The sequence below is a fragment of the Homo sapiens genome, chromosome 4, assembly GCF_000001405.40.
Source record: "Homo sapiens chromosome 4, GRCh38.p14 Primary Assembly".
Lineage (NCBI taxonomy): Eukaryota > Metazoa > Chordata > Mammalia > Primates > Hominidae > Homo > Homo sapiens.
This window is the reverse complement of record NC_000004.12, coordinates 15483066-15506819: the sequence shown is the minus strand read 5'-3', so window position 1 is coordinate 15506819 and position 23754 is coordinate 15483066. Positions and strand designations below refer to the sequence as shown.

Sequence of the window (23754 nt, the reverse complement as noted above, 5' to 3'; positions counted from 1 at the left end):
TTACAGACGAGAGCCACCGCACCCGGCCTAGGATTTTTAAAAACTGCAGTAGAATAAAGATCAGATTCCTGTGCTTGGTCAGTAAGGCTTTTTAAGATTCTGCCAAGTGAGGTCGCCTTGTAAAATAGGGCTAAGACTTTCTCATGCATTGTTGATGATGCCATTCTATTCCTGTCTGCTGCACTTCCTGTAGCAAAGGAGAGAGACTGATGTGTTTGAAAACACACAAAACAAACCGAGAAGTCAACTCATGAGAGAGAAACTTGGCTGTGTATAGGCAAGCCTTGGGCTTTAGAGATCTGTGAAGATGATGATAATGAAACACAAGACCAGGCAGAAAGCTTAACATTAGTAATCTAGAAAATAATTAGGTTAAATTCCATGTGGCAAAATATGTGGAAATTATTATTTTTGTTTCTTTCCATTGGGTTGGTATAGAAAATATGCTCAGATAATATAATTTCATTGATGTGATTTATTGCAGTATTGATGGTTTTATTACAGTATTTATGGACTTGATAAAAAAGTATATAATGTAATTTTTGTCAAAATCTTAGAAAGTTTTAAAGTCAATTATATTAATACATTTAAGGCCATTAATTATACTTAAAAGGATTGAGCATGCTAAATTAAATTTTAAAGAACTATAATACATTTGTATAATCTTAAAGTAATAATTACATTCAATTTCAATCCAGCAATAAAATATTGAGTGCCTATCATCATATGTGCACATATCCATCTAGAAATTCTTTCTCACCCTTAAATTTGTTGTATCCTCCAAGAAGGCTCTAGGCCCTCTTCTAACTTGAGCTAGACCAATTAAAGTCTCACTGCTTTTGTTATAACATAATTACAAAATATATTAGCTCTAGCCCTGATCTCTCTTTAAACCATAATCTAAACCAATTTCTTAAAAGACACCCTAATCTGATTGTCTTGTAGACCCCTCAAATTTTTATATATGCTTGATAGTGGTCCTGATACTAATCAAGATGCATGATTTGCAAATAACTTCTCCATTTCATGTGTTCTTCTTACCTTGTTCAATGGTTTCCTTTGAAGTACAAGTTTTTAATTTTGATGAAGTCCAATGTAGCTATTTATCCTTTTGTTACTTGTGCTTTGGGCGTCAGATCAAAGAAAGCCATGGACTAATTTTTATATAACCTGATTTTGAGGCTGGGACGAGGTGCCATTCTGGTGGGCTGCTAACAGCACCCACCACAGAGCTGAATCCCCCTATATCCCCACTGGCTGTCAACTCCACTGAGCTCCTCAAGGGTGAGCTGTCACTGTCATCACTGGGTGTTCTGAGCCTATCGGACACCTGGCAGGAAGGAGTTTCTCATAAGTGCTGGCTGGGCAACAGGTAAATTAGATTCAAGGATCAGATCTTGGGTAACCTGAAACAGGGAACCAGGGCCACATGTAGAGAAGTTTTGGTCATATCTAGTGGAGGCTAAGTTTTCAAGGTTCTGTGTTACTTCTACTTTGATGTTTATGTGTTCTTAGAGATTTGCATTTGTTCACCTATCACAAATCTGCTGAGCATAAAGTGAAAGGAAATACAAAAGAGATTAAGCAGTGGTTTGCGTTGGTAAATTTGGATTACTGACCAAAGTATTCCTAACTGGTTTCTCCTTTTCTCTCTGAGTATACAGCATCTAACAATCATTAATACTTAAATACAGAGGGCTGACCATGTGCCCGGTACTATGTGAAACACTGTAACATGTATTCACTCATTTAATCCTCAAAACAATACCAAGAACTAGGTTCTGGAATTACCCCTGTTTTATAGAGGCGGGAAGCGGGGTCTGGAGAGTAGCTAAACTCAAAGGTCACATCACTAGTGAGTGAGGTCGGCAGCCTTTAGCCCTGGTCAGCTGAAGTTCAGCATCTGTGCTCTTCATGTGCTATATTTTTTGATGAACAGTATATTGAACGATTTTTTAGATATTCCTTCTGGATTTGAGGTATATACATGAAGAAATGTGGCTGTGAGATGTCCTATTATGAATATGTGACTTGGTCTAAAGACAAAGCAGTTGATGTTTGCCTCAATACTGTAAGAATGGTACTTAGGGAATATGGAATATTATGAACATATAAGCCAAGTCCTGATTACAATGAGAAATAAACACCCTAGTAGCCCAGGGAGTATATTTTTACTTCTACAACTTCCAGCTTTATTTGAGATATCAGTATTTGTGGCCCATGGACAGTGAGAGCTACATGAATAATGATATCTATTTTTTAAAATGATGCTGTGAAATGATTTTCAGTCAGAAGGTATAGAAAAAGCCAGATATAAAAGACCTGAACCTCCTGTCACTTAGCCAACATGACCAGATGCTTAGCCTCATATGCCCGCCAAAATAACCAAAGTTCTTTTGGCAAGCTGATGGGATTATAGATATTTTTCTTTATTTTCCAATATTTTTAAATTATGGCTTTTGTAGTAAGAAAATAAATGGGAATTAAAGGGAAGAAATGCTTTTTCAGTGGAATGGATCATGAGGGCACATAACAAATAGTCATAAAGCCATTTCACTGGACTGACTAGTGTTCCTACTGACGACCACAAAACATAAACAAGGCTGCCACATTCCTTATAATTATGCAACTTGTGACTTCTTTGGGGTGAATATAGGTAACATTTTATAACACCTCATCACAGAAAAAGAAAAGGCATCATTTAAAAAATCAGAAATATCCCTAGAGCCTGGGCTTCTTTGTCTTAATGGTTAAAAACAACCCAAACCAATAAAAACAACAAAAAACCAATTGAATTGTAGTTGCAAACACCTCCTGAGCCATTTGCTGTTTTTCTTTCTGTTCCTTTTTCTGCCGTCTTAGCGCTTACCCCTCACTGAAATCTCTCTGTTTCTTTTCCTGGCTCCCTCTCCTCCTTAACAGCTTTAACTCTAAGGTTTTCTCCAAAGGCACTCTCAAAACTTCAAACACTCACCACAGTAGAAACACTTCCTAAATCTGTTTTTCCAGGTCTGGGCCCTTCCTCTGTGTCTCTGGAGGAACACATATTGAGATTCCTCACCAGCACCTCAAATACGAACGAAATTCACTCTAGTGCATTCAGACTGCTTCCCCTTACTGTTGTCAATAGCTTTCCATGGCTTGTAGAAAACTACCGAGGCTCCTGAATGTGACATTCAAGGACCTTAGCATCTGACTCCATTTTTCTGCTGCACTTTTATCTCTCTCCCTGCTTTCCAGGAAGATCCATGGATCCAGCAATGCTGACCCAATGAGACAGACTGGAAATGATATAGAGCTGGGATCAAATCCCAACTCTTCCACATGTATGCTCTGTGACCCAGGGTGGTTTCACATCTACTCTGACCCTCAGTTTCCTCATCTGTTAAATGTGAATGAAAATAATAGTACCTGCCCTGTAGGGATAATGAAATGTGATAACATGGGACAAAGGTGGTAAAATGCCTGGCACAGAGTAGTACCTTATAAATAGTAGCTATTGTAATTATTAATATTTTTGAAATAGGGTCTCACTGTTGCCCAGGCAGGACTGCAGTGGCCTAATCATAGCTCACTGCAGCTTTGAACTCCTGGGCCTAAGTGATCCTCCCACCTCAGCCTCCCGAGTAGCTGGGACTACAGGCACAAGCCAGCATGCCCAGTTAAATTTTTTATTTTTATTTTTAGTAGGGGTGGGGTCTTGCTCTGTTGCCCAGGCTGGTGTTGAACTCTTGGACTCAAGCGATCCTCCCACCTCAGTCTCCCAAAGTGTATTATAATTATTAATAAGCATTTAATACCTCCTCTGTGCATAGCTCTGCTCTAAAAACTTTTGCTGGAAACTTTATATTCTGCTTTACTGGTTTTGATCACAAAGTAGAGAGGGTATTTCTCACCTCTGTGCCAAATTCAGTCTCCAATTCTTTCTTACTGGGACTTCGTAAGCGTCTGGGCCGAGGAGTGGGGATTTCCTGCAGCAATGCACTTTCTGCTTTGGACTAAAAAGTCAAACAGAAATTTACTGCTACATGATGTCAGGAATGCCGAGAAATAATCAGTAAAAAATACATGCTATCCTTCTTTAAGGGGAAGAGCAAGGAAAATGGTTCAGAAAAGTGACATTAAATTCTGAAGCATAATTTTCATCTGTGCCAATGCAAAATAAGACATTAACATTTAAAACTTGAAAGACAAATTGAATGGTATTCAAATCCATGCAGTTTGGAGCATAAAAAGTAAGCTAGACAAGCCCTGGAAGATTGCAATCAGCACTGAACAGAATATTCATGTGGTTTCTCTCACCCTCGCTGCTTGCAATTTCTCCCTCATGCGTCCCCTCATGGAAAATTCTGCAAAGCCTGTTCTGGAAGTTGAAGGAATTGGAGGTAAGCCTAAAAAACAAAAACAAAAACAAAACAAAATAAAAAAAAAAGAAAAAGAAAAGAAAAAGGAAAATTACTTTAAAACAATTCCCTCCCCCCAAAAGGGAAGGTTAAATTAAAAAAGAAATAAGAGAACATAATTTTATTTTGCACATTTAGAACTTCACATAAGCAAACATGAGATCATGCTAACAACCATCCTTTTGATGTAGTAAGTACATGTCTTGGCTTTTCTGAAACTGAGAGACAAAACCTCAGTCCTGCCTAGCACTGTCATCTTGACTTAACTAAGAATGAAATGAATGACACTTGATTGTTCAAGGCACATGAATACTTACCAATTCAATTGCCACTGGGAAAAGGCTCTCAAGTTTGTTGATTTGAGAAACAGGCTTGTCGGGTGAATGGGTGGCTAATGAATTTGGGGTTTCCGGGTTTAACTTTCAATTGCACTGATATCTTTGATCAGAGAAACATTTTCTATAGGCCCAGGTTTATCCCTGGGCTATATCATAGAGACAATATACATTTTGTGTATATTATTGAATTTACCCATAAATATCATGAACTATCAGGCAGCTATTGTGTGCCAGGTTCTGTGATACCTGCATCAAATGTATTTCTCAACAATTTTTCTGCTATCTTTGTGAGGAGTGCCCCAGGTATTATGATCACCGGGTATCACAAAGATGAAGGCTCTGCAGTCCTGCGTGATAAATGGCTCTACCATCACACACCTAGGATGTGGAATCCTTGGGATTTGGTCCCAGCCCCACATTCCCCAATTCTCTAAACCATTACAAAAGAGGTGGAAGTAAAATGGAGTCTTTGGGGAACAGAATGTTAGCATGGGTGGAGCAGAGTGTCTCTACTGGGATGAAGAAGGACTCAAGATTGCAGAAGGATTTTGGGATCAAGTTATGGAGAGCCTCTGATGTCACATTAAGGAGTCTCGGCTATATTCCCCAAGCAGTGTGGATGTCGTGAAGAATGTGCAGGGAGGAGGACATGAATGCAAGCAGCGTTTTCAGAAGCTGTACCACAGGATGGTTGGGGTGGAGTGGGTGAGGTGCCAGGGACCCCAGTCAGGATGTCCTGGTGTGAGATAGGAAGGAAAGGGGGTCAGTGTGAGTAAGTAAGACAGGCCACACAAAGGAAAATACAATAGAGCCTAGTGGCAATTGGTAGGTATGGAAAAATGGTCAGCAGCAGCAGCAGCAGTCGTGTCTTCTGGAAACTTTTTAGATACACAGATTTTCAGGCATACTCCAAAACCTGGAGGTACAGCCCAGACACCCAGGGAGTTTAAACACACACTCAACCTGGAGGACCCCGCTATAGAGAAATAAGGAAAAAGTGAGGGAATCTGAGGTTTCAACACGAGGAGTTTGATGATGCTGAGAAAGAAAAACGAGACGGGAAGTCAGACTGGGAGATGTTGGAGTGAATTTGTCTGGGGCCAGATAAGTCGCAGGTGCTTGTCCAGGACACCAAGCTCTGGGAGAGGGGCCAGACTGAACAGTAAAGGCTTGGGAAGGCTTTCAACCATGGTGAGCGCTGAAGCCTTAAGGAGTTTCCTGAGGAGAGAAGGATCCTCACGCTTGTAGACAATGACACTGTCGTGGGAGGAAGGCAGCAGGTGAAAGTAAGAGTGGTAGAAGGAAAAGTGGCAGAGAGAAGGCAAAGATAACAGGTCTGCAGGTTCCTCCTGAGCCTGCTTTATGCAAGCAAAGACAACAGTCACCAGCCTCAAAGCCCATTTCTGCAGCACAGCCACTCCGTTTCTTGGGTTGTGCCTTCTTCCATATGTGTGATAGAAAGCTATAAAATACTACTTATATCATGCCCCCAACTATCACTTAATGCCTGTATGGAGGCATGAAATATTTATGGTAATGATTAGAGTCTGGCATGCATGTGTTGAGGTTCAAAGTTCTTTAAGAGAATCTCCATTAGCTTAATAAAATGGCCTTTGGCATTCTTTTAAAACTCACTTAAAATCAAGTCATTTTTCATTTTACAGATAATATAACTATGGTAGATTATGTTCCTGTGGCATATGCGCAGAGTCCTGAGACTTCCTTCATCTGTCACATTTTGAATTTATATACAGTTATGTACTGCACAAGGATGTTTTGGTCAATGGCAGACCCCATATACAAAGGTGGTCCAATAGGATTATAATGGAGCATATGTAGAGATCTGATCTATGGCACCTGATATTGGCTTTGCAGATCAAGTAGGAGAAATAACTGATATTCAGTAATGATGCTGGGACATTTGGTTTTCCATATTTAAAAAATACATATATATATATATATATATATATACACACACACACACACACACACACACACACACAATCTAGGTTTGTGTAAGTACACTTTATCATGGTCCCATAATAATGACACAATTACTCAGTTATGCGTTTCTCAGAATGTATCCCTGTCATTAAATAACACATGACTGCATTTGTTAGGCTATTTGATTAGTACCCGTTTCCTCCTCCCCAGGTTCTAAGGTCCCCAGCCACGCAGGGAAGGCACACTGTTAAGTATCACTAAGCATGTGTGGAATGCCTGGGTGGGTTAACAGGGGCTTCTAGACTGAAACCCTCCTTCTTGCCAATGCTTTCCTCTGTCTGACCACTTAGTGTGCCTCTGTCCCTGTCACCAACCCCCTCCACCACCAGTCAGAAGCCTTTTTCAAAACTAATAAGTTTTTACGAACATAAAAATAATCTTATTTACCCCCTCTTTAAAAATTCAGGGTTTTTTAGTTTTCATAAAACAGTTATTACTTGTACATGGTTTACTAGAACAATTTTATGAATTATTCTTTAAAAGAGAGACAAGATATTTTATTAAACACTATCTCTTCTGAATAAAGAAACTGAAGTAGGTTTATTATTAGTTTTAAAAACATTGACAATTTTTGAGACCATAAAAAGTAGCTCTTGCCAGATTCTTTTTTGAAATTATGACATTTATCACTTTTAATAGACTTTAATTTTTTAGAGTAGTTTTAGGACCCACAAAAAAGTTGAGGGGAAGTTGCAGAGACTTCCCATATATTCCAGCCCCAACATGCTTACTTTCCCTGATGATTGCACCCACCACCAGAGTGGCACATTCATTACAATTGATGAACCTTCATTGACGCATCAATCACCCAAAACCCATAGTTTGCTTGGGGGCTTACTTTTGGTGCTGTATATTCTACAGATTTGGATAAAGCTTATAATGACACATATCCAGCATGATCCAATGATACAGAGTAGTCTCACTGCCCTTCAAACCTTCTGTGCTCCACCCATTCAGCCCTCCCTCCCCTCTACTTTCTGGCAACCACTGATCTTTTTACTGATTTTGTTTTTAAAGTCTGTGCTACTAAAAGACATGTAGAGGATTTAAAGATTTCCAAATCAGGTCTGTACAACTAGCTGATGGCATGTCATCTCTCCAGCCAGACTGTGACCAGCTGAGAGCAAGAAACATATTGGAGGACTTTTGAACTTGGTTTTTGTAGTATTAGATCAGCGAAGGAAAAACATAGAAAGGAACCATGATGGTGTGAGGGATATTATACTTAAAAAGGTATTTCAAACAAGATAAATGTAATCTTCATTTGTTTGAAACCAGATAATGATGAAGACTTTTTTAAAAAGATAATATTACTAACATGGCATCCATGGAAGCCAAAGGTACCAGTTCCCTCCCTTTGACATCATAGCTAATGGGGTTAAGTACTTTCATTTTTTTCTTGGTAGAATATGGCAAACAGTGTTTCTTTAAACAGCTGGAAATACTAAGACAACCCTCATTAAACATTTTTCTTCTAATTTATTGTCAGTTGCTCCACTCCATTACTAATCAGCTGCATGATCTCGAACTGGCTCTCCCTTTCAAGCCCTGAGGGTGAGAACTGATCTGCCAGGCTCGAGGAAGGGCTTAATTTCACATTTACAAAAAGAGGCGTATTCAGAAAATGGCCCTTTGACACAGCTAAGAAAATCTGACATGAATAAATTTTCTGTAGCATCAAATGCAAAGTGTGATGAAAATAATTTTTTTAAGATTTGATTTGAGGGCATGCAAGAACTTATGGATAATGACAGAATTTTAGGACATTCCATTAAAAATATATACATAATGTCAATGTAGCATGAAATGTGGATTTCTTTGGCAAAGTGATGTTTTTCATCAGACACAGCAAGAGATTAGATGTTCAGCAATGTTGCTCTTGCTCCCTAGCAAACCCATTAACCCCAAGGCTACATGAGCCTTGTGTTTGAAATGGCTTTCAGATCTTCTCTGCACTCTCTCTCCTCTTTCCTATCACCCATACTCACTGTTACCCAGGCTTAATAAAATAGTGGACACTCTCCATTTTTCTCCTAAGGACTTCTGTTATACCTGACCCCTCAGAAAACACAACCATGTTTTCCTAACAAACAGGTATTTCATTTCAAATAATTTTCTGTTCCTCTCATGTTATGTCCACAAATTGATGTGGTCCAGAATCCTGATGCCTCACCTATGTTTTTCATTAATAACAGTTTTATTGACATATAAGCCATATACCACAAAGATCCTGCTTTTAAAATGTGCAGAACACATGAATAGGCATTCTCTGAGAAAGAAGTACAATTGGCTAACTAGCACATGAAAAGATGTTTAACATCATTAGTCATTAGGAAAATGGAAACCAAAACCACAATTAGGTACCACTTCACCCCTATAGGATGACTATAATAAACAAGAGAGATAATAACAAGTATTGACAAGGATGTGGATAAATTAAAACTTCTATGCTGGTAGGAATATAAATTGCTGTAGCTACTTTGGAAAACATTTGGGTAATTCCTCTAAATCTTTGGCAAATATTTAAAAGTATGATAAAAATTTATGTCAACTTAAAAATATGCAAGGAGAACCTAGTATTTCCATAATTATTGCAGGGGAGGTGGACAAAAGAGTTACAAGGACACAGGCCTGAACTACCTTTTACTTCTGCCTCTCCATTCCCAGTGCTTAAACCTCAGCACAAAATTATCTTTCCCTAATGCAAAATTCCAGGATAGACTATAAAATATAGAGATAAGGGGGTAGGAAGAGCATGGGGCAAAAGCCAGCTTGACTTCAGGAACAAAAATGGGAGAATAACAGGACTGAGAGGAAAAATGTATTTCTGGGCTCTCTAACCTGTTCCATTGGTCTGTATGCCTGTTTTTGTACCTGTACCATGCTGTTTTAGTTACCGTATCCTTGCAGTATAGTTTGAAGTCAGGTAGTCTGATGCCTCCAGCTTTCTTCTTTTTGCTTAGGATCATGTTGGCTATTTGGGCTCATTTTTGCTTCCAAATGAATTTTATAATAGTTTTTTCTAATTCTGTGCAAAATGTCATCAGTAGTTTGATAGGAATAGCACTGAATCTTAAATTGCCTTGAGCAGTATGTCCAACCTAACAATACTGGTTCTTCTTATCCATGAGCATGGGATGTTTTTTCATTTGTTTGTGTTATCTCTGATTTCTTTCAGCAGTGTTTTGTAATTCTTCTAGTAGAGATCTTTTACCTTCCTGGTTAGCTGTATTTCTAGGCATTTTATTCTTTGTGTGGCTGTTGTGAATGGGATTGCATTCTTGATGTGGCTGTCAGCTTGGACATTATTGGGGTGTAGAAATGCTACTAATTTTTTTACATTGATTTTGTATTCTGAAGCTTTGCTGAAGTTGTTTATCAGATCTAGGAGCCTTTGGGCAGATGCTACAGAAATTATATTCCTTTGTGTGTATACCCAGTAATGGGATTACTGGGCCAAATGGGTTTTCTAGGTATAGAATCATATCGCTTGCGAAGAGAGATAGTTTGACTTTCTCTCTTCCTAGAAATAAAGCCACACATCTACAACCATCTGATCTTTAACAAAGCTTACAATAACAGCAATGGGGGAAAGACTCCCTATTCAATAAAAGGTGCTAGGATAACTGGCTAGCCATGTGCAGAAGACTCTTTCCTTTCACCATATACAAAAATCAACTCAAGATGGATTAAAGACTTAAATGTAAAACCTAAAACTTTAGAAACCCTAAAAGTAAACCTAGGAAATACCATTCTGGACACTGGCCCTGGCAAAGACTTCATTATGAAGTCTCCAAAAGCAATTGCACCAAAACCAAAAATTGACCAGTGGGACCTAATTAAACTAGAGAGCTTCTGCACAGCAAAAGAAACTATCAACAGAGCAAACAGACAACCTACAGAATGGGAGAAAATATTTGCAAACTATGCAACTGACAAAGGTCTAATATTCAGAACCTATAAGGAACTTAATTCAATAAGCAAAACACAAACAACCCCACTGAAAAATGGGCAAAGAACTTGAACAGATAATTTTCAAAAGATGTACTTGTGGCCAACAAACATTTGAAAAATGCTTAACATCACAAATTATTAGAGAAATGCAAATAAAAATCACAATGAGATTCCATCTTACACCAGTCAAAATGGCCATTACTATATTAAAATGTCAAAAAATAACAGATGCTGGCAAAGTTGAGGAGAAAAGGGAACTGTTATACACTGTGAGTGGGAATGCAAATTAGTTCCGCCACTGTGGAAAGCAGTCTGGCAATTTCCCAAAGAACTTAAAATAGAACTATCATTTGGCCCAGTAATCCCATTACTGGGTATACACACAAAGGAATATAAATCATTCTACCATAAAGACACATGTACTCACATGCCCATCACAGCACTATTCACAATAGCAAATACATGGAATCAACCTAGGTGCCCATCAGTGGTGTACTGGATAAAGAAAATGTGGTATATATACACCATGGGATACTACATAGCCATAAAAAAGAATGAATTCATGTCCTTTGCAGCAACATAGATGGAGCTGGAGGCTATTATCCCCTAAGTGAATTAATGAAGGAACAGAAAACCAAATACCGCATGTTCTTACTTATAAGGGGGAGCTAAACATTGAGCTACATATGGACAAAAAGAGGGAAACAATAGAGGCTGGGCGTGGTGGCTCATGCCTGTAATCCTAGCACTTTGAGAGGCCGAGGTGAGAGGATTGTCTGAGCTCAGAAGTTCAAGACCAGCCTGGGCAACATGGTGAAACCCCGTCTCTAGTAAAATACCAAAAATGAGCTGAGTGTGGTGGCATGTGCCAGTAATCCCCTCTACATGGGAGGCTGAGGCAGGAGAATCACTTGAACCCAGGAGGTGGAGGCTGCAGTGAACCAAGATTGTGCTACTGCACTCCAGCCTGGGCAACAGAGCAAGACTCTGTCTTCCAAAAAAAAAGAAAAAGAAACAACAGACATTGGGTATTTGAGGGTGGAGGGTGGGAGGCAGGTGAGGGTTGAAAAACTACCTATTGGGTATTATGCTGATTACCTGGGTGACAAAATGATCTGTATACCAAACCCCCACCCTCAATATGCAGTTTACCCATGTAACAAACCTGCACATGTACCCCTTGAACCTAAAAGTTGGAAAGACAATTAAAAAATAAATAATTTGTGAAGTCACCATTCTGTTTTTAAATTTACATATGCTTCACCCTGTTACATATTGTAACTGTTTGTTGTCAATCAAAGCATGTAGTTGATTAATACTAATTAAAAACTTTCAAATTTTGAGGATTAAAAAAAATGTAATTAGTGGACAGTCTGATGCAAGACCCTAGGATAGCCTTTAAGCCACAATTAATGCTATGGGTACATAGGACACAATCTTATTGTCAGGCAGGTTTTTACCCAGGGCAAGAAAACGGCCCAAAAGCTTATTGGTGGCTGTAACTAGAGTTTAAGAAAATAGGTCATTGATTTCTTCTCCTGATTTTCTAATTTTTATGAAATAGACTAGTGTCACTTGTGAAAGTGTCACTACATGAAAAGAAAGTCAAAATGGGCTGAGAACAAACTGGCTGTCCCTGTATGAGCCCCAGCACTGCTGATAGTTCACATTTGCTGAGGTGCTCTGGAGGGACTTCTCTGGTCACTATCTTTTTTTCTAGTTCTCCCAGGCTCACTCTTTCCGAGTCCCACTAGCATTTTCATTTTATGTTAGCTGAAAACTCAGGAACCCCGGCTCTGGCACATGCGTCTCTTTCTCATGTGGGGTCTTGGGATCCTGGCCCTGCCCAGTGCCCCTTGCTCTTCTTTATACTTCAGCAGATGGCGCAGGCTTGGGGATCATCAGCCTGGACAAGACTCGGTGCTCTCATGCTGTTGTGGTGGTGCACAGGGCATGAGGCTCCAAACAGGACTTTCAGAGACTCTGAGAGTTGTCAGGAATATCACAGATATATTTTGACATGGAGTTTCTACTTAGGATTGAGTCTTCCCCATTGTCTTCTACAGAGTGGAAAAAAATATTAACAGGTATTCAGGAGGGCCAAGAACTGCATGAGAAATGCTAGGTTAAGTGTGTGTAGTCTCAGAACGAGCTTCATGAATTTCCAAGAGTAGAAATGATATGAAAAGTTTCTCAACTTGAATTCTTTTTTGGGGGCAGTTCATTTCTAAGAGGATACTAGTATTCTACAAACTCCAGTTTTGGCAATGCTGGATTACAGAATCTTGTCTTGACCCTTCAATCATTCAACCAACAAATATTCTTTGAGCATCTGTTATGTGTTCAAGGTACTAGGGATAGGGCAGTAAACAAAACAAATGAATGCCTCCACCCCCATAGAGAATGTATGCCAGTGGGGGAGATAGACCACAAATAAGTTCTGTAGTTAGTATGTCAGATGGTGATACAAGTGTAGAGACAAATAACACAGGATCAGGGGATAAGGAGGGCCAGGAGGGAGGGGTGAATTGCAGTTTTAAATAGACTAGGCCAGATGCAGTGACTCAAGCCTGTAATCTCAGCACTTTGGGAGGCTGAAGCAGGCAGATTGCTTGAGCTCAGGAGTTTAAGACCAGCCTGGGCAACATGGTAAAATGCTGCCTCTACAAAAATTAGCTAGGTATGATGGTGTACACCTGTAGTCCCAGCTACCTGTAGTCTCAAAATTAGCTAGGTGAGGTGGGAGGATGGCTGTGCCCAGGAGGCAGAGGTTGCAGTGAGCCGAGATTGCACCACTGCACTCCAGCCTGAGCAACAGAGCCAGACCTTGTCTCAGTAAGTAAGTAAGTAAATAAATAAATAAATAAATAAATAATAAATAAAGTGGCCAGGTAAGGGCCTCCAGGTGACTTAAGAACAGGTGAAGAAAGTGGGGGATCAAACCATGTAGACACCTAGGGGATGATAATTTCAGGTACAGGTAGGGTACTATCTGATGCAAAGACACTGAGATAGGGCTAAGCCTGATGAGAGGCCAGAGCAGAAATGGGGAACCCAAAAATTGAGGGAATGGAATACTAGGATATTAGGTCATAGAAGTAAGGGGAAATGCAACCACATAGGTCATCCTAAATAATTAAGCATTAACAAATATGATGACATCAAAAAGGTGGTGAAGCAGGCATCAGAGGGCCCCCTCAAGGGCATTCTGGGCTACACTGAGCACCCAGGCTGTCTTCTCCGACTTTAACAGTGACACCCACTCTTCCACCTTCGATGCTGGGGCTGGCATTGCCCTCAGTGACCACTTTATCAAGCTCATTTCCTGGTATGACAATGAATTTGGCTATAGCAATAGAGTGGTGGACCTCATGGCCCACATGGCCTCCAAGGAGTAAGACCCCTGGACCACCAGACCCAGTGAGAGCACGAAAGGAAGAGAGAGACCCTCAGCTGCTGAGGAGTCCCTGCCGCCCTTAGTCCCCCACCTCACTGAGAATCTCCCCTCCTCACAATTTCCATGCAGACCCCCTGAAGAGGGAGGAGCCTAGGGAGCCCCACTTTGTCATGTACAATCAATAAAGTCCCCTGTGCTCAAAAAAAAAAACCAAACAAACAAACAAAAAAAAGAATTTGGCATTAACTCTGAGTTGAGTGAGAGCCATTGGAAGGTTTAAACAGAGAAGTGATGTAACTATATTTTCATAGGACCACTCTGGCTGTTGGGTTGAAAATGAGGGGTGAGAATGGAAGCAAGAAGATCAGTTAGGAGGCTACTGCAATATTCTAGATGAGAGGTGAAAGTGGCTTAGATCAGGGTGGTAAGAGTAGAGAGAGTGAGAAGTAATCATTAGATCTATTCTGAAGGTAGAGCACACAGGATTTGATGGTAGATAGGATGTGGGCAGACAGAAAGACAGGTGTTATGGATGACTCCAAGTTTTTGACCCAAGCAATAGAAAAAAATGTAAAGTCCATTTAATGGGGTGGGGATGACTCTAGGAGAAACAGGTTTGGTTTGATAGAAACAGATCAGAAGGTCAGTTTCAGTTAAGTAAAATTTGAGTTGTCTGAAAATACATAATAGATCTAGAGAAACGTAAGAGCTAAAACTATAAAATTTCTAGAAGAAAACATGGGAGAAAATTTCCATAACCTTGAGTTGGGCAATTAATTTTTAGATACAACCCTAAAAGCACAATCCATAATAAAAATATAATAAATTTGAGTTTATCAAAATTTAAAACTTTTGTACTTCAAAGACACCATTAAGAAAATGAAAAGACAAGCCACTGACTTGGAGAAAATATTTTCAAATTATGTATCTGATAAAGTACTTGTATCTAAAATACATAAAGAATTTTTACAACTCTATAGTAAGACAACTCAATTAATAAATGAGTAGAAAATGTAAATAGCTGGGTGCGGTGGCTCATGCCTGCAATCCCAGCACTTTGGGAGGCCAAGGTGGTTGGGTCACTTGAGGTCAGGAGTTCAAGATCAGCCTGGCTGACATGGTGAAACCCTGTCTCTACTAAAAATACAAACATTAGCTGGATGTGGTGGTGAGCACCTGTAATCCCAGTTACTCAGGAGGCTGAGGCAAGTGAATCACATGAGCCCAGGAGGTGGAGGTTGCAGTGAGCCAAGATTGCACCACTGCACTCCAGCCTGGGTGACAGAGTGAGACTCATGTCTCAAACAAGCAAACGAAAAGTAAATAGTCATTTTACTAAGAAGATATACAAATGGCTAGTAAGAATATGAAAAAATAAATCATTAATCATGAGGGAAGTGCAAGTTAAAAGCATAAGACACCACTATACATCGACTGTAAAGGGTATAATTAAAGACAGATAATACCAAGTATTGGAAAAGATGTGGAGAAACTGGAACTTTCATACGTTGTTGTCAGAAAAGTAAAATGATGCAGCCACTTTGAAAAGTATATCGGCAGTTTCTTAAAAAGTTACGAGTAAGTTTATCATATGACTCAGAGATTCTATTGTAGCAGGACAAGCCGCAGACAAAACCCCTTAGACACCAAGCTAAAGAAGGAAGGGCTTTATTCGGCCGGGAGCTTCGGCAAGACTCACATCTCCAACAACTGAGCTCCCCGAGTGAGCAATTCCTATCCCTTTTAAGGGCTCACAACTCTAAGGCGGTCCGTGTGAGGGGGTCGTGATCGATTGAGCAAGCAGGGGTACGTGACTGGGGGCTGCATGCACCAGTAATTAGAACAGAACAGAACAGGACATGGATTTTCACAGTGCTTTTCTTATGAAAATAACCAATTAGGTCAGGGGTCGATCTTTAACTACCAGGCCCAGGGTGTGGCGCCAGGCTGTCTGCTTGTGGTTTTCATTTCTGCCTTTTAGTTTTTACTTTTTCTTTCCTTAGAGGCGGAAATTGGGCATAAGACAATATGAGGGGTAGTCTTCTCCCTTACTACCACTAGGAATCCTTCAAAAAGAAATGAAAACATAAGTTTACACAAAGACATTTTGCAAGTGTTCACAGCAACACTGTGGATAATAGCACCAAACTGAATATAATCCACATGTCCGTCAACAGGTGAATAAATAAACAAAGTATAGTGTGTCCATATGATGAAATATAATTCATCAACAAAAGAAATGAAATTGAAATGTGGATACATGCTACAATACTTACGAATCTCAAAAATCATTATGCTAAGTGAAAGAGGTCAGGTGCAAATCACTACATATTGTATGATTCCATTTACATGCAATGTTCAGAAAAGACACACTTACAGGGATAGAAAACAGATCAGTGTTTGTCTGGAGCTAGGGCTAGGAGTGGAGGCAAATAGGCACAAAGGAACTTTTTGTGGTGATAAAAATGTTCTAAAACTGGATTGTAGTTTGATATTGCATGTTTATATATCTACCAAAAATTCCTTAAATTGTACACTAACAATGGGTGAATTTTATGATATGTAAGTTATATTTCAATATGCCTACTAAAAATATGAGTTGTCTTATTAGATGTGCAAAAGTGGATGTTGAGTACGCGGTTGCATATTTAGTCTGGAAGAAGTCCACGCTGGAGATAAAAATTTGGAACTGGTCAGTATATAGATTGAATTTAAAGTCTTGAGATGACAACAGTAATTGAGTATTGATAAAGACAAGAGAGCCAAGCACTAAGCCTAGGGTGCTCCAACATGGAGTAGTCGGGATGTGAATAAGAACAAGCAAAGGAGAAAGAGGTACAGCCAGTGAGGCAGAAGGAAAACCAGGCAAGTGGAGTCCTGGAAGCCAAGTACAAAAGTAGGAGAGAATGATGAGTGCCATCAAATGCTGTGAAAGTCAAGTAAGATAAAGACTAAGAACTGACTATTGAATTTAGCAAATGTGTGAGTCATTGGTCACCTTGGCAAGGACATTTTCAATAAATGGGTGGGAGTGTGAGTTACATTGGAGTGATTTCAAGAGAGGACTGGAGACAAAAATGAGAGAAAATGAGTTTGAAAGAATTTTGCTGTAAAGAAGTTTTATTTTTTTGTTTGTTCGCTTTAAAGGAGGGTAGGGAATTGGGGCTTTGAGTACAGATTAATTGCGGCCTTGGCTTTCCTCATAACTAATAATAGGTAATATTTATTCATACGTATTAGTACTTTAATTTAGTCTTCCCAGTACTGTGTGAGGTAGTGAACTGCAGCGTTGGTGAATGTCTTGACATTTCCTACATTCTCCACTGTGCATCCTTGGACTAGAATGTTCATCCCATTCTCCAGCTGGTGGGCACTAAGGTAACCCCCAAGGCCCGGCTCCTTCAGGCAGCTCCCCTCTATGTCTCATGCTGTGCTTTATAACATTCCCCTCCCACCCCAGGCCAGTCTCTCCAGGTCCTCATGACTTTTAAAAAGTATGCCTAAAATAAACACTTTATTTCCTTTCATTTGCATCATATTTCACTCGATTCTGAACTTTCTTTTCCACCAATACTGACAAATTGGCTCTGAAATGTTGGTTTAATCAGAGAAACTAACATGAATGAATGGAAAACAGATGTTAGTAATGAAGAAATTTGTGTTCATAAGAAACTACTTAATGTGTGATAGTTACTCCCTCAAGAGATGGTGCAAGATGGAATCATGGGGGAGTGTGTGTACTTTTAAACTAGATGTTTATTTTATTTGGAACTATTCCATGTTCAGGGAGATGCTTTCTTTATTTGGGATGTCATGACTATATATATGTTTGAAGAGCAGATTAGAAGGCAAGCTTTCACTGCATGGGTTTCTGGTGCGGTTCATTAGGGAGGTGGCACCTCCGGGCATGTGCCCGAAGCAGTGTGTGAGGCCATAGGTTAGGGGTGCTGATCTCTGCATCTCTAAATGCAGCCTGACCTTGACAATACTTGGAGCCTTGTAGGACAGAGGGTCACAGGTTCAAGGTGAGGAGCTGGGCTGGTATCACTGAGGGGCAGCCTAGACTCATGAGAAGTTTGGGAAGTAAAAGGTCAAAGGAGTAATCAAACGTGGATCCAGATATTTGAGCAGGTACAAGAATGTCAAAGAACACCAAAACATTCAAATCCCCTAAGACTACTGCAAGGTCTATAAAAATCACTCTCAAAAGTCAAGGACAAAGAGAGGATCCTAAAAGCAGCAAAAGAAAAGAAACAAATAACATATAAAGTAGCTCTGATTCATCTGGCAGCAGACTTCTCAGTGGAAACCTTATAGGTCATGAAGGAATGGGATGATATATTCAAAGTGCTGAAGAAAACAAAGAAACAAACAAAACTTCCAACTTAGAGTATTATATCCAGCAAAGTTATCCTTTAAACATGAAGGAGAAATAAAGACTTTTCAAGGCAAGCAAAAGCCAAGGGATTTCATCATCACCAGATCTATCTTACAAGAAATGCTAAAGGGAGTTCTTCAATCTAAAAGAGAAGAATGCTAATGAGCAATAAGAAATCTGAAGGTATAAAAATCACCAGTGAACATAAGTACACAGACAAATACAGAATACCCTAACACTGTAATTGCGGTGTTTAAATCACTCATATCTTTAGCCCTGAAGACTAAAAGAAAAACCTATCAAAAATAATAACTACAACAATTTGTCAAGAGATAGACAGTACAAAAAGATATAAGTAGAGACAACAAAAAATAAAAAAGCAGGGGGGAGACGGGGTTAAAATATAGAATTTTTCAGTTTTTGCTTTTTATTTTCTTTTCATTGTGATCAGATTTAAGTTGTCATCAGCTTAAAATAACTGGTTATAAGATGTTATTTGCAAGCTTCATGGTAATCACAGAGCAAAAACCTATGACAGGTACAAAAAAAAAAATTTTTTTAACATACTACTGGAGAAAATCACTTATACACTAAGAAAGACAGGAAGAAGGCAGAAAGGAAGAGAGGACTAACAAAACAACCAGAAAACAAATAAGAAAATGGCAGTAGTAAGTCCCTCCCTGTGAATAATGACGTTGAATATAAATGGACTAAATTCTCCCATCAAAAGACATAGATTGGCTGAACGGATGAAAAAGATTGAAAAAAAGAGCCAATTATATGCTACCTATAAGAAACTCATTTCACCTGTAAAGATGCACATAGACTGAAAATAAAGGGGTAGAAAAAGTTATTCTATGCAATGGAAATGTAAAAAGAGCAGGAGTAGCTGTATATGTATCAGATAAAATAGATTTCAAGACAAAAATTGTAAAAAGAGACAAAGAAGGTCATTATACAATGATAAAGGGGTCAATTCATCAAGAGGATATAATACTTGTAAATACATAGGCACCCAATACTGGGACACCCAGATATATAAAGCAAATATTATTAGAGCTAAATCCCAATACAAGTCTCCCATTAATAATAGTTGAGGATCTTAATACTCCCGTTCAGCATTGGATAGATCATTTAGAGAGAAAATCAACAAACTAATATTGGACTTAATCTGCAAATAAAACAAATGAAACTAACAGATTTAAAGAACATTTCATCCAACAGCTGCAGAATACACATTTTTCTCTTCAGCACATGGAACATGCTCAAGGATAGACTATATCTCAGGCCACAAAACAAGTCTCAAAAAATTCAAAAAAGTTGAAATCATATCAGGTATCTTCTCTAACCACAATAAAATAAAACTAGAAATCAATAACAAGAGAAACTCTGAAAACTCTACAAATTCATAAAAATTAAACAATACACTCCAGAACAACAATTGGGTCAATGATGAATTAAAAAAATAAAAAATTGACTGGAACAAATGAAAATGGAAACACAACATATGAAAACCTATAGGGTATAGCAAAAGCATTACCGGAAGGGAATTTTATAGCAATAAATACCTACGTCAAAAATGTAGAAAGATTTTAAATAACCTCACAATGCATCTTAAAGAAACAGAAAATCAAAAGCACATCAAAACTCGAAATTAGTAGAAGAAAAATAATAAAGATCAGAGCAGAAATAAATGAAAGTGATACTTAATAAAAAGTAGAAAAGATCAATGAAATGAAAAGTTGTTTTTTGAAAAGATAAACAAAATTGACAAAACTTTAGCCAGATTAAGAAAAAGAGAAGACCCACAGAAATAAAATCAGAGACAAAAATGGAGACATAACAACTGATACCACAGAAAATCAAAGGATTATTAGAGACTATTATGAGCAACTATATGCCAATACATTTCTTCTAGAAAGCTAGAAGAAATGGATAAATTTCTAGACATATACAACCTACCAAGATTGAAACATGAAGAAATATAAAATCTGAATAGACAAAAAACAAGTAATGAGATAGAAGCAGTAATAAAAAGTGTTTCTCTTCAAAGAAAAGCCCAGGACCTGATGGCTACCCTGCTGAATTCAACAAAACATTTAAAGAACTATTATTAATCCTACTCAAACTATTCCAAAAATCAGAGGAGGGAATACTTCCAAACCTATGGTACAAGGGCAGTATTATCCTGATACCAAAACCAGACAAAGACATAACAACAAAAAACTTTACAAGCCAGTATCTCTGATGCACACTGATGCAAAAATCATCAACAAAATACTAGCCAACTGTATTCAATAATAAATTAACAACATCATTCTTCATGATCAAGTGGGATTCATCTCAGGGATGCAAGGATAGTTCAATATATAAAATCAATAAAGTAATACATCATATCAACAGAATGAAGGAAAAAGGACATGATCAGTTCAGTAGATGTGAAAAAATATTTGCAAATTACTCCTCTGAAAGGGGACTGATATCCAGAATATACTAGGAACTCAAATATCTCAACAGATAAAACATAAATAATCTCATTAAAAATAGGCAAAAAACATTGATAGACATTTCTCAAAAGAAGACATACAAATGGCCAACAGGTATACGCAAAAATGCTCAAATTCACTAATCATGAGGGATATGCAAATTAAACCACAATGAGATATCTTACTCCAGTTAAAATGGCTTTCATCAAAAAGACAAAACAGATGCTGGCAAGAATGCAGAGAAAAGGGAATGCTTGTATACTGTTAGTGAGAATGTAAATTTGTACAGCTGTTATGGAAAACAATATGAAGTTTCTCAAAAAACTAAAAATAGAACTACCCTATGATCCAGAAATGCCACTGCTGGGTATATATCCAAAAGAAAGGAAAGCAGTATATCAAAGAGATATCTGAACTCCTATTTTTACTGCAGCACTATTCACAACAGCTAAGATACGGAATTAACCTAAGTATCCATCAATGGATAAATGGATAAAGAAAGCATGCTGCATATACACAATGGAATATTATTCAGCCATAAAAAAGAATGAAATTTTGCAGTTTGCAACAACATGGATGGAACTGGAGGACATTATGTTAGTGAAGAAAGCCAGGCACAGAAAGACAACTAGTACATGTTTTCACTCATATGTGGGAGCTAAAACAATTGATCTGATAGAGATAGTGAGTAGAATGATGGTTACCAGAGGCAGGACCCTGTCTTGAGCATTTGTTGTTATGCCCATGGCAGTTTTTCAATATATGTTTATCAAGCTCCAAATATTGCATTGGGGAATAAGCAATGAATACAGCAGACAAAGTCTTGATCTCAGGGAGCTTTCCTTCTAATGATCAAGATAGTCAGCTGATTGGAAAATGCCGGGAGGTGATGAGTGCTCTGAAGGAAAGTAGAACCAGCTGAGAGGAAAGAGGGCAGAGGTGGGAAAGGGACATTCTAGATAAAAGATCAAGGAATCCCTGTCCACTCTCCACCTCTCCCCAACCACCAGATCCCTGTATCCATACATCCATGTCCACTTGGATATTCAGCAGGCATCTCAACTTTGCATGTCCATTCAATTTCTACCTTCAAACCTGCCCTTTCTGCCATCTTTTCCTTCTCTGAAACTCTATTGGGGAAAGTGGAGTTACCCATTTTTGACTCAAGTCAAAAACCATGGAGGCAACCTTCCTGCTTTCATAATTCTTGTTCAATCGAGAAATATACCTGTTCGTCTCTACCTTCCAAATACCCAGATTTCCCACACTCTTTCCACCCCTTCCACTACCCGCCAGTCCCATTCCCCAATAACTCCCACCTGGATTTTTGCTGTTGGCCTCTACCTGGTCTCTGTGCTTCTGCCCTCACTCCTTCCAAAGTCTACTCAGCACAGCAGCCGTCAGCCTTAAATCTGATTATATCAGTCCTGGGCTTGAACCCTCCAATGACGCTCATCTCATTCGGATTAAAAGTCAAAGGGCCCACTAGGCTGGGTACAATTCCCCTCCTCCCTTCTGATTTTATTTTTTTCCTTTTCCTTGTTGTTCACTCTCCACTGCCCTTGCCCCCTGGCTGTTGCTTAATGTCGCAAGCACATTCCTGCCTTAAGACCACTGCCTGGAACATTCTCCCCTTGGGGATCACTCATTTCCTTTCATAAATGCACCTCATCCTCTCACTCCCACTGCAGTCCTGCCAGCTTATTCTTTATCTTTCTCTTCAGGACTTCTCACACCTGCTGTACTCTATGTTTATCTAGTTTACTTCATTTGTTTTTCTCTTTTTTCCTCTCATCCCTCCCACAACTGGAGTATAAACTCTGTGGCAGTGTTCACGCAATCTATTATTGTCCCTGTTTTACAAATAAGGAAACTAAAGTTTAGGTAGGTCGGAGAACTTGCCCAAGGGAGTAAGATAGGTAGAGACTGGTACCCACTCTTGTCTAAGCCAACGCCCATGGTCTTAACTGCAACAGCTCAATTGTGTTTCAATCACAAGCTTAATAAAGACACAATCAGAGAACTCTCTTAAAGTGGGAACCAAAGCCCAGAAATGCTGAGATGGTCACGAGGCATTCAGAGGCCAGTAAGGAGTCAACCAAAGTGGAGCACACTGGAAAACACTGGAAAATACAACCGGAAGGAGCCCAATTGCATAGATCCTTAGAGCCCGGAATAAATAAGAGAGTGTGGATTTTATGTAATGTAATATAATAGATTTCTGAGTAGAAAAGTGAGATAAAGAGGAGTTTTAAAGAAAAATTAATGTGGTAGTAAAAATGTCCATACATTCTTTGACACTCCTTCTTTCAAAAGAAGGAGGCTGATTTTCCTTCCCTTAAATGTGGGCTGGATTTAGGGACATGCTTCTAACAAATATGTCGAAAGGACTGATAGGTGATTTCTATGACTGGGTCATAAAGCACATGGCTGCTTCTATCTTGCTCTTGACCCTCTCCGTGTTTTCTACACATACATCTGTGTGTTTCCAAGACCTGAATTGGGAATCCTCCTCACCCTACAGTTCCCCATGCAGACTCCTCCATATGTGGAGGCTCCATTCTTCTGTCACCTCCCTTGCTATCCTTGCCTGCCTAGGGCAGTCCAGCACTCTGTTGTTTCTGCCAGCACTCATCATTCCTTTTTACTTGTCTGTCTCCTGCTCTAATGCCACTGGTATAATAATACTTCCTCTGCTCTCTTGACTTTGTCTGCTGGCTTTGACTTCTCATTTCTGACAGATGCCTGGCTCCACAGACTCCTTATCCACCATATGCTCCACCCCTCACTGCTG

At 39.1% G+C, this 23754-nt stretch overlaps 1 protein-coding gene across 5 annotated transcripts in view, besides 1 other annotated feature; it reads right to left on the bottom strand.

Moving 5' to 3' along the window:
- CC2D2A (coiled-coil and C2 domain containing 2A) overlaps positions 1–23754 on the bottom strand; it is a 131693-nt gene that overhangs the window by 94738 nt on the left and 13201 nt on the right. For all 5 annotated transcript variants that reach the window (NM_001080522.2, XM_047416010.1, XM_011513872.4 and 2 more), the window contains 2 exons: positions 4303–4391; positions 3897–3998 (listed from right to left, as the gene is read on the bottom strand). In NM_001080522.2, coding sequence (NP_001073991.2) covers positions 3897–3998; positions 4303–4391 — 191 coding nt within the window. The remainder of the gene's footprint in view (positions 1–3896; positions 3999–4302; positions 4392–23754) is intronic.
- Positions 4445–5000: an enhancer, noted in NCBI's record as "OCT4-NANOG hESC enhancer chr4:15503443-15503998 (GRCh37/hg19 assembly coordinates)". NCBI's record gives its function as "activates a minimal SCP1, AML or CMV promoter by ChIP-STARR-seq in naive H9 embryonic stem cells {active_cell/tissue: H9 hESC(naive)}" and the evidence as "EXISTENCE:reporter gene assay evidence [ECO:0000049][PMID:30033119]".